At 39.5% G+C, this 14,931-nt stretch overlaps 1 protein-coding gene across 26 annotated transcripts in view, besides 1 other annotated feature; it reads left to right on the top strand.

Annotated features, from left to right (window-relative positions):
• ZNG1A (Zn regulated GTPase metalloprotein activator 1A) overlaps positions 1-14,931 on the top strand; it is a 58,220-nt gene that overhangs the window by 27,573 nt on the left and 15,716 nt on the right. For 13 of the 26 annotated variants that reach the window (NR_174356.1, NR_174357.1, NM_001399798.1 and 10 more), the window contains one exon: positions 5,326-5,382. The exons of 5 other annotated variants lie outside the window; for them this stretch is intronic. Coding sequence is in view for 13 of the 21 variants with exons in the window: in NM_001399798.1 (NP_001386727.1) it covers positions 5,326-5,382 (57 nt within the window). In the remaining 8 variants the exon portion in view is untranslated. Of the gene's footprint in view, positions 1-56; positions 180-758; positions 5,036-5,325; positions 5,520-14,931 lie in introns of those variants that run through there. 8 more of the 26 variants (NR_174360.1, NR_174358.1, XR_001746353.2 and 5 more) reach the window with 4 other exon arrangements.
• Positions 11,572-12,185: an enhancer, noted in NCBI's record as "H3K27ac-H3K4me1 hESC enhancer chr9:139299-139912 (GRCh37/hg19 assembly coordinates)". NCBI's record gives its function as "activates a minimal SCP1, AML or CMV promoter by ChIP-STARR-seq in primed H9 embryonic stem cells {active_cell/tissue: H9 hESC(primed)}" and the evidence as "EXISTENCE:reporter gene assay evidence [ECO:0000049][PMID:30033119]".

Genomic DNA, 14,931 nt, shown 5'->3' with positions numbered 1-14,931 from the left:
AGGGTTATTTTATTAAGCTCATTTTTTTTTTTTTTTTTTTTTTTTTGGTGAGAAAGGCTCAGCAGCTAATAGACTCAGCAACAGGCAGCCAGGAGCTCTGAGGCTCACAGCTGGCAGTCTAGTTCCACTCAGTCTCTACTGGAGAAATTCTTTCTTTGGAAGTACAGCAGAGGCCTTAGGTGAGTGGCTTGTCTGCTATGGCAGAGATTAGAGGTGCTGCCAGACTGCCATAAGTGTTAGGCAGTAACAGCAGCAGCTGCTTATATGCATGTGAACAGCTGGGGAATTAATTTGGTATGCATTCTCAGGAGCCACTCATCTGCTGGCAGAGGTAGCAGAAGAATGCCCTTAGTGTAAGTCCTCTACAACCATACACCAAATGTGCTCCCTGCATTTCAAATTCCATTGTAGAAAGTCTCTGATAATCTCACTTATACTATGAGCCATTCCTCAGTATCTGTCCTCTTCCTGTTAGTGTTCTACAATTCCTTTCTCCTTAATTTTTCTCCGCTTTACAAAATGTCACACAGACAAGTGCATAATACTTAAACAAGCTTTTAAAAATAATGCTCATAAATAGCTTTGGTTCTGTCATAATATTCGTATTTATAAACATTTTAAGTCAATTCTCTTCTTTTGTTTTCATTTCAGAAATATCCATGTCCTGAATAAAAGTTGTGTCTTGATTAGTTTATTATGTAACAATTTAGTGTGTTTGACATTTCTAACTTTTATTTCTAACATTTGCTTTATTATAGAACAATAAACATGCAGTGATTGATTTTTCTTACTTCAAGTGGATGAGTGAGCAAGTGACTAAAATCTTCTGTGAATTATTCAGTGTATGGTGCTTGCCAGTGCATCTGAGAATCTAGGGACTTTCTGAAATAGTACTTCCTTGCTATGAGGACTGAAGTTGCATTAGAATCCTTTTCAATGAAGATCAGATGTCCTGAGTACAATTCTTACTATTGGGTCCTGAATCTTACATTAAATATTCTCTCAAATTCCTTGAGGCATAGCAACTTGAGCTTACCAGTTTAGAAACTGGAGATTTGGGCTGGGCGCGGTGGCTCACGCCTGTAATCCCAGCACTTTGGGAGGCCAAGGTGGGTGGATCACGAGGTCAGGAGATGGAGACCATCCTGGCTAACACTGTGAAACCCCGTCTCTACTGAAAATACAAAAAATTAGCTGAGCCTGGTGGTGGGCGCCTGTAGTCCCAGCTACTCAGGAGGCTGAGGCAGGAGAATGGCGTGAACCCGGGAGGCGGAGCTTGCAGTGAGCTGAGATCGCACCACTGCACTCCAGCCTGGGTGACAGAGCGAGACTCTGTCTCAAAAAAAAAAAAAAAAAAAAAAACAAAACCGGAGATTTGGTTAACAAAATAGTCAAAGTCACTCTTATAGAAGTTTTGTTTTATTTTTTGTTTAAAATTTTTTTACCATTTTGTAGCTGACAAGTACTGACAATAAACTGCTATAAGCATGTGTAGAAAAAGGCTCACCTTGAGTAGTTAAGAGTAAGGAAAAGGAATAGTGTGTAGCATCGTCTTAGTGGTAAGACTTAAGTTGATTTAGTAGCAAATGGAAGTACTAGTGAACCACATAGATTTCAGAAGTAGGAGTAAAAGGTTAGAAGATGTGTCATTTTAATCTTCTCTAGACTTTTTCTTAATTTTTAGAAATGTAAGTGGACTGAACAGAGGAAAACCAAAACACAGCTGGTCAATAATAAGTTAAATTAATTTGACAAACTGCCTACTATGCATTTCATAGCATTTTAAGGACTATATAAGCAATGGATAAGGCAAAAACTCTGCCTTTAAGGAGATCAGTCATTGGGGGGAAACAGAAGCAAACAAACAAAAAGGCAACATAATAGATATTAATATTAATACAAGAATTTTAAAAGCACAGAGTTCTATAATAATAGGAAAATAGAGGGAATGATTGCTCAACTTTTCTTGAAAAAGAGTCAGGAAAATATTGACCGAGAAGACAGTCATTGACCTGAGTCTTAAAGAATGAATAAGGCTTTTACAGATGGAGTAGGGTAGGGATAACTTTCCAGGTATAAGGAAGATTTTGTATTCCAGGGACCTTTGAATTTTTTAGAATGGCTAGAAAACTTGGTATTATGTAGCACAGAAAAAGTGGTATGACTGAAGAGATAGAGAACTTACCACAAAGGGTCTTGAATGCCATGATACATAGTTTGGATTTTCTTCTGTAGGGAGCAAGGAGTTAGTGAAGGATTTTAAAAGCAACATGCCTCTTGGGAGGTAGATTCAATGTGAGGCTAATCTCCGAGGTATAGGAAATACAGGAAGGAGGAGCAACAGGTCGGGTAGTGGTGGAAGCAGGTTTGGAAAATGTGATTAGTTTTGTAAGCGTTTTTGAGTTTGAAGTGCCACTGGGGAAGGCTTTTGGAAATTTATTTCCAGAGTTCAAGACTGAGCTATCATTGCAGTTTGCTCAGCTATTTACTGAGCTATCTACTGTCAATTTGGATAGTATCTACAGTTTGCATTGTAGATACTGGATACTTGGATTGGCTGGTGCACCCTGTTTGTGAGACTCACTGGAGTTTGAAGAGATGACCACTGGAAAATATCCCTAAGCAGTAGCTGCAATTCCACCCCCACCTTGGAGAGCCAAAACCCTCTTCATTTTCACTCTCCTGTCCTTGGTCTTAGGCTACTTAAAGCAGCCTTTAGACATAGGGAAAAATTGAAAGCCTCTCTTTTAAGAAAAACATTAGGTACTTCTGGAATAGAGAGTTCAAGAAATTAGGAGAAAAATGAACTTTTGAAGCTTTTTCTTTCCCTTTTTTGTTTACTTCATTCTCTTACTCAGTTTTAAAATGCTGGTAATGGTCTTTTTTTTCTTTTTTTTTTTTTCTTGGCGATTTTAATGCTTTGGAAAAGATCTCATGGTTTTATCTCCAAAGGAGGAAATTAATTTGATGCCATGGAAATTAGTTTTCTAGTCGTATGCCTTGAATGAGTGAAGAATTTGTTTTTCATGGTGGTACTAAATTTGGGGAAAGCTATAGAAACTTTCATCTGGAAGCTTACACTTTTCCTCTTTTTTGAAAATTTGGTGAGAGACTTGGATATTTTATTGTTTTCTGTAAAAGAGTGTAATTTGTTGTACAGGTCTAATATTGATCCTTTTTTGGAAGTATGGAAAGAATCTGAGTATAAAGCAGAATTACCTCTGGATGGCATGTATTCTCAAGGACACTGTCACAGTGAAACAGTTTATTTAGAAGCTTGTGTTTCCAAAGTGTTGAATTTGATATTCACAAAATTGGCATGTGTAAACTTTATTAAACTTTAAGCTATTTCCTAAGATGAAGATGACAAACTTGGAGGGAAACTTCATTCATTTGGTTTATTTTTATTTTTATTTTTATTTATTTTTATCTTTTTGAGACAGAATCTCACTCTGGTTTGAGACAGAATCTCACTCTGTCCCCCAAGTTGGAGTGCGGTGGTGCGACCTCGGCTCACTGAAACCTCTGCCTCCTGGGTTCAGGCGATTCTCCTGCTTCACCCTCCGAGTAGCTGGGATTACAGGTGTGCACCACCACACCCAGCTAATTTTTGTATTTTTAGTAGAGACGGTTTCGCCACATTGGCCCGGTTGGTGTCAAACTCCTGGCCTCAAAGTGATCCGCCCACCTTGGCCTCCCAAAGTGGAGCCGCCGTGCCCCTTGTCTGTGACCTGTCAATATAAATATGCTCAGTAGCGGGGGGAGGGGGAGGTGAAAAAGGAAATATGTTTAATATTAAGACTTTGGCCTTTTAGTGTAAACTGATACTCAGAAATTTCTTCATAGAACATTTGCTTCTTTGCTTGATCATTTTTCTAATTCTGTACATCTAAAATGCCCAGAATTTGAGTTGCTGTTATAGTCTACTAACATAGAACTTTGGAGTAATAAGATGGGAATTTGTCTCTCTTTTGCCAAGACAAGCATTCGTAATCTAACACAGTATTGTTGCCACGAGTACGAGTATGTGATAGACTGTTGAGAATAAAGAAAGCAGGCACAGTTGGTCAGTCCTAAGATAAAGGAGATGTTTTTCTTATATGTTTGTGCATTAAAGAAAAAAAAATCTTGAATCTGACCAATGATGTTTTTTTTCCTTGTAAGAAAATTTAACAAATGTTTGGCAAGCTTCTGGAATCTAAATTTGAAATTATACATTTGTCATTTTCTTTAAATATTTCTTCACCTTAGCTTTGATTATGAGAAATCACTGTCCTCTGCTGTTCTTTTTTTTTTTTTTTTTCTTTTGAGGCGGAGTCTCACTCTGTGCCAGGCTGGAGTGCAGTGGTGCAATCTTGGCTCACTGCAACCTCCACTTCCTGGGTTCAAATGATTCTCCTGCCGCAGCCTCCTGAGTAGCTGGGACTACAGGTGCGTGCCACCACACCCAGCTAATTTTTGTATTTTTGGTAGAGACAGGGTTTCACCACGTTGTCCATGGCCAGGATGGTCTTGATCTTGACCTTGTGATCCGCCCGCCTCGGCCTCCCAGAGTGCTGGGATTGCAGGCATGAGCCACCGCGCCCGGCCTGTCCTCTGTGGTTTTCTGGGCTTATGTTAAAATTATAACTCAATCACCAGTCTTTATAAATTTGCTTTTTTATATTTAAACCAAACCTAATGCTAATTGTGATATGTTATTTATTCTCACCTGATTTGAATCATTGGATTCAATTAAATGAGTAATTATCATTAAATAATTCTAAGAGAAATAATGTCTATTCGGATGGTGGGAATTTTCTTCCTACATGCAGCCCCATTCTGAATGAATGAAATCAAATCACGTGAAGATCAGGGTCCTAGAGTAACTTAATATTTTGTACATTGGTTATTTGACTCCTCATTTTTATATTACATGTTATATCAAGGGAGGGGGTATAAAAGAAATACAAAAATTGCAGAGGTATCTGGAATGTACCTATTTGTTAATTCTATTTGTCATTTCTTTTGTTTCATCTTTTGAGTAATAAGCTGCTTGGAAAAGTTTCTGTTCTTTAGCTGATTTTTTAGCTATAAAAATGTATTTGAAAAGCTCATAAATTTCAGGATTGAAAAGATAATTGAAAGTTTTAAAGAAACCTAATTCATTGAAGTAATAAACAAATAATTTTCAATCTTGATTCAACTGTGATTCAAATCTTACACCATTTGCCCACTTCTATGAATTTTATGTATAAAATTTTTTAAGTCAGAGTTTTTTTTCTTGATTAACTGGATGTATTTCACAGAATTTCCAACTGCTCACGTTAGTTTTCTTCCTTTTAGAGTTGATCTCTCTAATGTATTAGATCTTCATGCCTTTGATAGTCTCTCTGGAATAAGGTATGTTTTGTATAATTTGGTTACTTTTATTGTTATGTACCTTTTTTCCCCATAGTTAACAGGAATGATGTGCACAATTGCATCCATGATTTAAGCTTCCTGCCATTCCTTTGGCATACAAGACCATTCTTAATGAGGTATATTCTTGGAAGTTTTACTAATTGGTTGTTTGGAAATCATATTGCATTTTCCTGTAGAAATTATAGTGTAAATGATAGTTAACTTTAGAGGCTAATCGTTAACACTTCTACACCAAACACTATGTCTAATACTCTTTCTATGAGAAAATGCATGAAATACATAGAAAATTTTAGCTTAGCGTTTTCACACAAATAACTCTCTTCACTTTATTTTTTTATTTTTTATTTTTTCTTGAGTTTTTTTTAAAATTTATTTATTTATTATTATACTTTAAGTTTTAGGGTACAGGTGCACAATGTGCAGGTTAGTTACATATGTATACATGTGCCATGCTGGTGCGCTGCACCCACTGACTCGTCATCTAGCATTAGTTATATCTCCCAATGCTATCCCTCCCCCCTCCCCCCACCCCACAACAGTCCCCAGAATGTGATGTTCCCCTTCCTGTGTCCATGTGTTCTCATTGTTCAATTCCCACCTATGAGTGAGAATATGCGGTGTTTGGTTTTTTGTTCTTGCGATAGTTTACTGAGAATGATGATTTGCAATTTCATCCATGTCCCTACAAAGGACATGAACTCATCCTTTTTTATGGCTGCATAGTATTCCATGGTGTATATGTGCCACATTTTCTTAATCCAGTCTATCATTGTTGGACATTTGGGTTGGTTCCAAGTCTTTGCTATTGTGAATAATGCCGCAATAAATATACGTGTGCATGTGTCTTTATAGCAGCATGATTTATAGTCCTTTAGGGTATATACCCAGTAATGGGATGGCTGGGTCAAATGGTATTTCTAGTTCTAGATCCCTGAGGAATCGCCACACTGACTTCCACAATGGTTGAACTAGTTTACAGTCCCACCAACAGTGTAAAAGTGTTCCTATTTCTCCACATCCTCTCCAGCACCTGTTGTTTCCTGACTTTTTAATGATTGCCATTCTAACTGGTGTGAGATAGTATCTCATTGTGGTTTTGATTTGCATTTCTCTGATGGCCAGTGATGGTGAGCATTTTTTCATGTGTCTTTTGGCTGCATAAATGTCTTCTTTTGAGAAGTGTCTGTTCATGTCCTTCGCCCACTTTTTGATGGGGTTGTTTGTTTTTTTCTTGTAAATTTGTTTGAGTTCATTGTAGATTCTGGATATTAGCCCTTTGTCAGATGAGTAGGTTGCAAAAATTTTCTCCCATTTTGTAGGTTGCCTGTTCACTCTGATGGTAGTTTCTTTTGCTGTGCAGAAGCTGTTTAGTTTAATTAGATCCCATCTGTCAATTTTGGCTTTTGTTGCCATTGCTTTTGGTGTTTTAGACATGAAGTCCTTGCCCATGCCTATGTCCTGAATGGTAATGCCTAGGTTTTCTTCTAGGGTTTTTATGGTTTTAGGTCAAACGTTTAAGTCTTTAATCCATGTTGAATTGATTTTTGTATAAGGTGTAAGGAAGGGATCTGGTTTCAGCTTTCTACATATGGCTAGCCAGTTTTCCCAGCACCATTTATTAAATAGGGAATCCTTTCCCCACTGCTTGTTTTTCTCAGGTTTGTCAAAGATCAGATAGTTGTAGATATGCGGCGTTATTTCTGAGGGCTCTGTTCTGTTCCATGGATCTATATCTCTGTTTTGGTACCAGTACCATGCTGTTTTGGTTACTGTAGCCTTGTAGTATAGTTTGAAGTCAGGTAGTGTGATGCCTCCAGCTTTGTTCTTTTGGCTTAGGATTGACTTGGCGATGCGGGCTGTTTTTTGGTTCCATACGAACTTTAAAGTAGTTTTTTCCAATTCTGTGAAGAAAGTCATTGGTAGCTTGATGGGGATGGCATTGAATCTGTAAATTACCTTGGGCAGTATGGCCATTTTCACGATATTGATTCTTCCTACCCATGAGCATGGAATGTTCTTCCATTTGTTTGTATCCTCTTTTATTTCCTTGAGCAGTGGTTTGTAGTTCTCCTTGAAGAGGTCCTTCACATCCCTTGTAAGTTGGATTCCTAGGTATTTTATTCTCTTTGAAGCAATTGTGAATGGGAGTTCACTCATGATTTGGCTCTCTGTTTGTCTGTTGTTGGTGTATAAGAATGCTTGTGATTTTTGTACATTGATTTTGTATCCTGAGACTTTGCTGAAGTTGCTTATCAGCTTAAGGAGATTTTGGGCTGAGACGATGGGGTTTTCTAGATATACAATCATGTCATCTGCAAACAGGGACAATTTGACTTCCTCTTTTCCTAATTGAGTACCCTTTATTTCCTTCTCCTGCCTAATTGCCCTGGCCAGAACTTCCAACACTATGTTGAATAGGAGTGGGGAGAGAGGGCATCCCTGTCTTGTGCCCATTTTCAAAGGGAATGCTTCCAGTTTTTGCCCATTCAGTATGATATTGGCTGTGGGTTTGTCATAGATAGCTCTTATTATTTTGAAATACGTCCCATCAATACCTAATTTATTGAGAGTTTTTAGCATGAAGGGTTGTTGAATTTTGTCAAAGGCCTTTTCTGCATCTATTGAGATAATCATGTGGTTTTTGTCTTTGGTTCTGTTTATATGCTGGATTACATGTATTGATTTGCATATATTGAACCAGCCTTGCATCCCAGGGATGAAGCCCACTTGATCATGGTGGATAAGCTTTTTGATGTGCTGCTGGATTCGGTTTGCCAGTATTTTATTGAGGATTTTTACATCAATGTTCATCAAGGATATTGGTCTAAAATTCTCTTTTTTGGTTGTGTCTCTGCCTGGCTTTGGTATCAGGATGATGCTGGCCTCATCAAATGAGTTAGGGAGTATTCCCTCTTTTTCTATTGATTGGAATAGTTTCAGAAGGAATGGTACCAGTTCCTCCTTGTACCTCTGGTAGAATTCAGCTGTGAATCTATCTGGTCCTGGACTCTTTTTGGTTGGTAAGCTATTGATTATTGACACAATTTCAGATCCTGTTATTGGTCTATTCAGAGATTCAACTTCTTCCTGGTTTAGTCTTTGGAGGGTGTATGTGTCAAGGAATTTATCCATTTCTTCTAGATTTTCTAGTTTATTTGCGTAGAGGTGTTTGTAGTATTCTCTGATGGTAGTTTGTATTTCTGTGGGATCGGTGGTGATATCCCCTTTATCATTTTTTATTGCGTCTATTTGATTCTTCTCTCTTTTTTTCTTTATTAGTCTTGCTAGCGGTCTATCAATTTTGTTGATCCTTTCAAAAAACCAGCTCCTGGATTCATTAAATTTTTTGAAGGGTTTTTTGTGTCTCTATTTCCTTCAGTTCTGCTCTGATTTTAGTTATTTCTTGCCTTCTGCTAGCTTTTGAATGTGTTTGCTCTTGCTTTTCTAGTTCTTTTAATTGTGATGTTAGGGTGTCAATTTTGGATCTTTCCTGCTTTCTCTTGTGGGCATTTAGTGCTATAAATTTCCCTCTACACACTGCTTTGAATGCGTCCCAGAGATTCTGGTATGTTGTGTCTTTGTTCTCGTTGGTTTCAAAGAACATCTTTATTTCTGCCTTCATTTCGTTATGTACCCAGTAGTCATTCAGGAGCAGGTTGTTCAGTTTCCATGTAGTTGAGCGGTTTTGAGTGAGATTCTTAATCCTGAGTTCTAGTTTGATTGTACTGTGGTCTGAGAGATAGTTTCTTATAATTTCTGTTCTTTTACATTTGCTGAGGAGAGCTTTACTTCCAAGTATGTGGTCAATTTTGGAATAGGTGTGGTGTGGTGCTGAAAAGAATGTATATTCTGTTGATTTGGGGTGGAGAGTTCTGTAGATGTCTATTAGGTCTGCTTGGTGCAGAGCTGAGTTCAATTCCTGGGTATGCTTGTTGGTTTTCTGTCTCATTGATCTGTCTAATGTTGACAGTGGGGTGTTAAAGTCTCCCATTATTATTGTGTGGGAGTCTAAGTCTCTTTGTAGGTCACTCAGGACTTGGTTTATGAATCTGGGTGCTCCTGTATTGGGTGTATATATATTTAGGATAGTTAGCTCTTCTTGTTGAATTGATCCCTTTACCATTATGTAATGGCCTTCTTTGTCTCTTTTGATCTTTGTTGGTTGAAAGTCTGTTTTATCAGAGACTAGGATTGCAACCCCTGCCTTGTTTTGTTTTCCATTTGCTTGGTAGATTTTCCTCCATCCCTTTATTTTGAGCCTGTGTGTGTCTCTGCACGTGAGATGGGTTTCCTGAATACAGCACACTGATGGGTCTTGACTCTTTATCCAATTTGCCAGTCTGTGTCTTTTAATTGGAGCATTTAGTCCATTTACATTTAAAGTTAATATCGTTATGTGTGAATTTGATCCTGTCATTATGATGTTAGCTGGTTATTTTGCTGGTTAGTTGATGCAGTTTCTTCCTAGCTTGGATGGTCTTTACATTTTGGCATGATTCTGCAGCGGCTGGTACCGGTTGTTCCTTTCCACGTTTAGTGCTTCCTTCAGGAGCTCTTGTAGGGCAGGCCTGGTGGTGACAAAATCTCTCAGCATTTGCTTGTCTGTAAAGTATTTTATTTCTCCTTCACTTATGAAGCTTAGTTTGGCTGGATATGAAATTCTGGGTCGAAAATTCTTTTCTTTCAGAATGTTGAATATTGGCCCCCACTCTCTTCTGGCTTGTAGAGTTTCTGCCAAGAGATCCGCTGTTAGTCTGATGGGCTTCCCTTTGAGGGTAACCCGAGCTTTCTCTCTGGCTGCCCTTAACATTTTTTCCTTCATTTCAACTTTGGTGAATCTGACAATTATGTGTCTTGGAGTTGCTCTTCTCGAGGAGTATCTTTGTGGCATTCTCTGTATTTCCTGAATCTGAATGTTGGCCTGCCTTGCTAGATTGGGGAAGTTCTCCTGGATAATATCCTGCAGAGTGTTTTCCAACTTGGTTCCATTCTCCCTGTCACTTTCAGGTACACCAATCAGACGTAGATTTGGTCTTTTCACATAGTCCCATATTTCTTGGAGGCTTTGTTTGTTTCTTTTTATTCTTTTTTCTCTAAACTTCCCTTCTTGCTTCATTTCATTCATTTCATCTTCCATCGCTGATACCCTTTCTTCCAGTTGATCGCATCGGCTCCTGAGGCTTCTGCATTCTTCACGTAGTTCTCGAGCCTTGGTTTTCAGCTCCATCAGCTCCTTTAAGCACTTCTCTGTATTGGTTATTCTAGTTATACATTCTTCTAAATTTTTTTCAAAGTTTTCAACTTCTTTGCCTTTGGTTTGAATGTCCTCCCATAGCTCGGAGTAGTTTGATCGTCTGAAGCCTTCTTCTCTCAGCTCGTCAAAGTCATTCTCCCTCCAGCTTTGTTCCGTTGCTGGTGAGGAGCTGCGTTCCTTTGGAGGAGGAGAGGCGCTGCGTTCCTTTGGAGGAGGAGAGGCGCTCTGCTTTTTAGAGTTTCCAGTTTTTCTGCTCTGTTTTTTCCCCATCTTTGTGGTTTTTATCTACTTTTGGTCTTTGATGATGGTGATGTACAGATGGGTTTTTGGTGTGGATGTCCTTTCTGTTTGTTAGTTTTCCTTCTAACAGACACGACCTTCAGCTGCAGGTCTGTTGGAGTACCCGGCCGTGTGAGGTGTCAGCCTGCCTCTGCTAGGGGGTGCCTCCCAGTTAGGCTGCTCGGGGGTCAGGGGTCAGGGACCCACTTGAGGAGGCAGTCTGCCCGTTCTCAGATCTCCAGCTGCGTGCTGGGAGAACCACTGCTCTCTTCAAAGCTGTCAGACAGGGACACTTAAGTCTGCAGAGGTTACTGCTGTCTTTTTGTGTGTCTGTGCCCTGCCCCCAGAGGTGGAGCCTACAGAGGCAGGCAGGCTTCCTTGAGCTGTGGTGGGCTCCACCCAGTTCGAGCTTCCCGGCTGCTTTGTTTACCTAATCAAGCCTGGGCAATGGCCAGCGCCCCTCCCCGAGCCTCGCTGCCGCCTTGCAGTTTGATCTCAGACTGCTGTGCTAGCAATCAGCGAGACTCTGTGGGCGTGGGACCCTCCGAGCCAGGTGCGGGATATAATCTCGTGGTGCGCCGTTTTTTAAGCCCATCGGAAAAGCGCAGTATTGGGGTGGGAGTGACCCGATCTTCCAGGTGCCGTCTGTCACCCCTTTCTTTGACTAGGAAAGGGAACTCCCTGACCCCCTGCGCTTCCCAAGTGAGGCAATGCCTCGCCCTGCTTCGGCTCGCGGATGGTGCACGCACCCACTGACCTGCGCCCACTGTCTGGCACTCCCTAGTGAGATGAACCCGGTACCTCAGATGGAAATGGAGAAATCGCCTGTCTTCTGCGTCTCTCACGCTGGGAGCTGTAGACCGGAGCTGTTCCTATTTGGCCATCTTGGCTCCTCTCTCCTCTGTTCACTTTAATAATGGATTAGTTTTCTGCCTTCTCCTGTGGGGAATCTTTTTGGTAAGGGAGGGAAGAAAGATTAGTTATTCTTGTGCATCAGTATCTTTTTCTTTTTTTTATTGTAGTAAGAACATCTAACATGAGATCTACCCTCTTAACAATTTTTTAAGTGTACAATACAGTATTGCTAACTATAGGCATGAGGATGTGCAGCAGATCTCTGGAATGTTTCACTCTTTATAACTGAAGCTTTATACCCCTTGAATAGCAGCTTCCCATTTCCCTGTCTTCATAGCCCCTGGCATCCACCATTCTACACTCTTTCTATGGGGTTGACTATTTTAATTACCTGACGCAAGTGGAATCATGCATTATTTGTCTTTCTGTGACTGGTTTATTTCACGTAGCGTAAAGTCATCAAGGTTCATCCATGTTTTTGCATATGGCAAGGTTTCCTTTTTAAGTCTGAATAATATTCCATTTTCTACATATACCACATTTACTTTATCCCTTTTTCTGTTAGTGGACATTTAACTTGTTCTCACAGCTTGGCTATTGCAAATAATGCTGCAGTGAATATCTCGTAAGTCTCGTATATGTCCATAGAAGATCATGAAAATGGACATGTCTCTGGGTATTTTGAATTGGTGGGACAATTTTGCTTAAGGGTAGGCATAGTGGGTGGCTCTACATTTGAGAGTTCTAATTCCCATTCCTATATATATTTCTTTTCTTTTTATTTATTTTTTTGAGATGGGGTTCTCTGTCACTCAGGCTGGAGTGCAGTGGCACAAACATGGCTTACTGCAGCCTCAACCTCCTGGGCTCAAGTGATCCTCCCATCTCAGCCTCCCAAGAAGCTGGGACCACAGGCATGTGTCACCATGCCTGACTAATTTTTTTTTTTAATTTTCTGTAAGCATGGTGTCTTGCTATGTTGCCTAGGCTGGTCTCAAACTCCTGGGCTCAAGTGATCCTCATGCCTCAGCCTCCCAAAGTGCTGGGATTACATGTGTAGCCCACCACACCCAGCCTTATATATATATTTCTAATTTTGCCTTAGCCATGCCCTTAAAAACTGATTCTACTTTCAACTAGTTTTTTTTTTTCCACCTTCAGTCTGTAGTATTGTTCACATTTTGAAAACAATACCTACAGTAACCTGTGAGGTAGGACATGATAGTGTTTTATTGGACCCCTTTTACTTTATGAATTGGAAAAATTAAATTTGCATGTAGTTTGTAAAAAAAAAAAGAAAGAAAGAAAAAAGAAATTGATTGAGATTATTTCAGCAGCCAGAAGTGTGGGACAGGCAGGGCAGTTATTCCTCCTTCTCAGTTTGGAAACTGAAGCTCAGAGAGTAAACTTGTCAGTGACACAGTTATTCAAGAAGTTGTCTTCAGTTGAGAGATATGTTTTTCACCTGTAGCTTCTGGTATTGGAGCAGTACCTTTTTAGACTAAACAAATTACGGTTAAAATTATAAAGGTATTTTTGGAGTACCTGGAAAAAATCAGCATTTTGCTTTTCTAGTTCCATTTAGTAGGAAGACAGGAAAGTTTGGTATACCTGAATTACATGTGAGTTATTTCTATTTTTCTAAAAATTCTTATAAATTGTGTAAGGTAAAAATGACTACTTCTTGTTTTATGGTAAATATAGTTATATCCTTTCAAGCCACTGCTGTACAAAGTTGTGAAATCTCCCTGAGGCTTTTTCCCTCATGTCAGCTTCAGGTATCCAGTATCACTTATGCTTGATAATGATTGTATGAAAATCATTCAGAATTATACTATGTTTTTTCATATAAAGCTTTTGTTTTACTAATTTTGAAATGACTGTTCCTCCATTAAGCGAATACAGCCCTAAGCATAAATTTGGTTTGTTCATTTAAAAATGGTCTTTTTTTCCCATCTTAGTTCTGGCTTTACTAGGGAGATAGATTGGCTGAGGTTGTCACCTAATTCTGGGAGGTTAAGAGCCTTTGTCTTTTGCTACCCATTTCTGAAATAACCAGAAGTCTAGCCCATCCTAACTTTTCTCTCGATGATCCTTTTCTTCTTTTTACTTCAAGGTTCCAGCTCTTCATTTGACTATCAGTGCTGTTTCACTAGTTAGCCATGATCCCTTTCATCCGCCGTGTCTGGATTAGAACTGTATTTTTAATTTGATGCTGTGGGCAGTTTTGATAGTTACAGATCCTGTGATACATTTAAATGTGTTTACAAGGGGAACAAATGAAACAATGCTGCATGAAATTTGCCTTTCTTTTTTTTTTTTTTTCCCCTTGGAGACAGGGTCTGGGTCTATTGCCCAGGCTAGAGTGCAGTGGTGCGATGTCAGCTCCCTATAGCCTCTGTGTCCTGGGCTTAAGCCGTCTTCCCACCTCAGACTCATGAGTAGCTGGGACTATAGGCACGCACTACCATGCCTGGCTAATTTTTTATTTTGGTAGAAGATGAGGTTTTGCCATGTTGCCGAAGCTGATCTTAAACTCCTGGGCTTAAGTGATCTGCCCACCTCAGCCTCCCAAAGTAATGGGATTATAGGCGTGAGCCACCACACTTGGCCTTTTCTTTTTTTCATATTTATTTAATTATTTTATTTTATTGAGACAGAGTCTCACTCTGACACCTGGGCTGGAATGCAGTGGCTATCATGGCTCTCTGCAGTCGTGAACTCCTGGACTCAAGTGATCCTCCCATCTCAGCCTCCTGAGTAGCTGGGACTACAGGCTTGCACCCATGCCTGGCTAATTTTTTATTTTTACTTTTTTGTAGTGACAGGCTCTCGCTACGTTGCTCAGGCTCGTCTTGAACTCCTGGCCTCAAGTGATTCTCCTACTTGGCCTCTTAAAGTGCTGGGATTATAAGCCTGAGCCACTGAACCCAGCAAAATTTGCCTTTCTTAAACTAATTTATCTCTGTTGGGTCCAAGAGCTTACAAGTTGGTTGTCATTTAATATGTTAAACACTAGAATATTTTTTAGTTGAAATTTTATTTTTTCCCTTTACATGTTGTATCCTTTAGTGCTTTATTTCACTAATAAGAATTATAGTATGCAATCATTTCCCACCTCTATATTCAGTATATCAATT

This window comes from Homo sapiens, chromosome 9, assembly GCF_000001405.40.
Source record: "Homo sapiens chromosome 9, GRCh38.p14 Primary Assembly".
Classification (NCBI taxonomy): Eukaryota; Metazoa; Chordata; class Mammalia; order Primates; family Hominidae; genus Homo; species Homo sapiens.
This window is presented reverse-complemented; position numbering and strand designations above follow the sequence as displayed.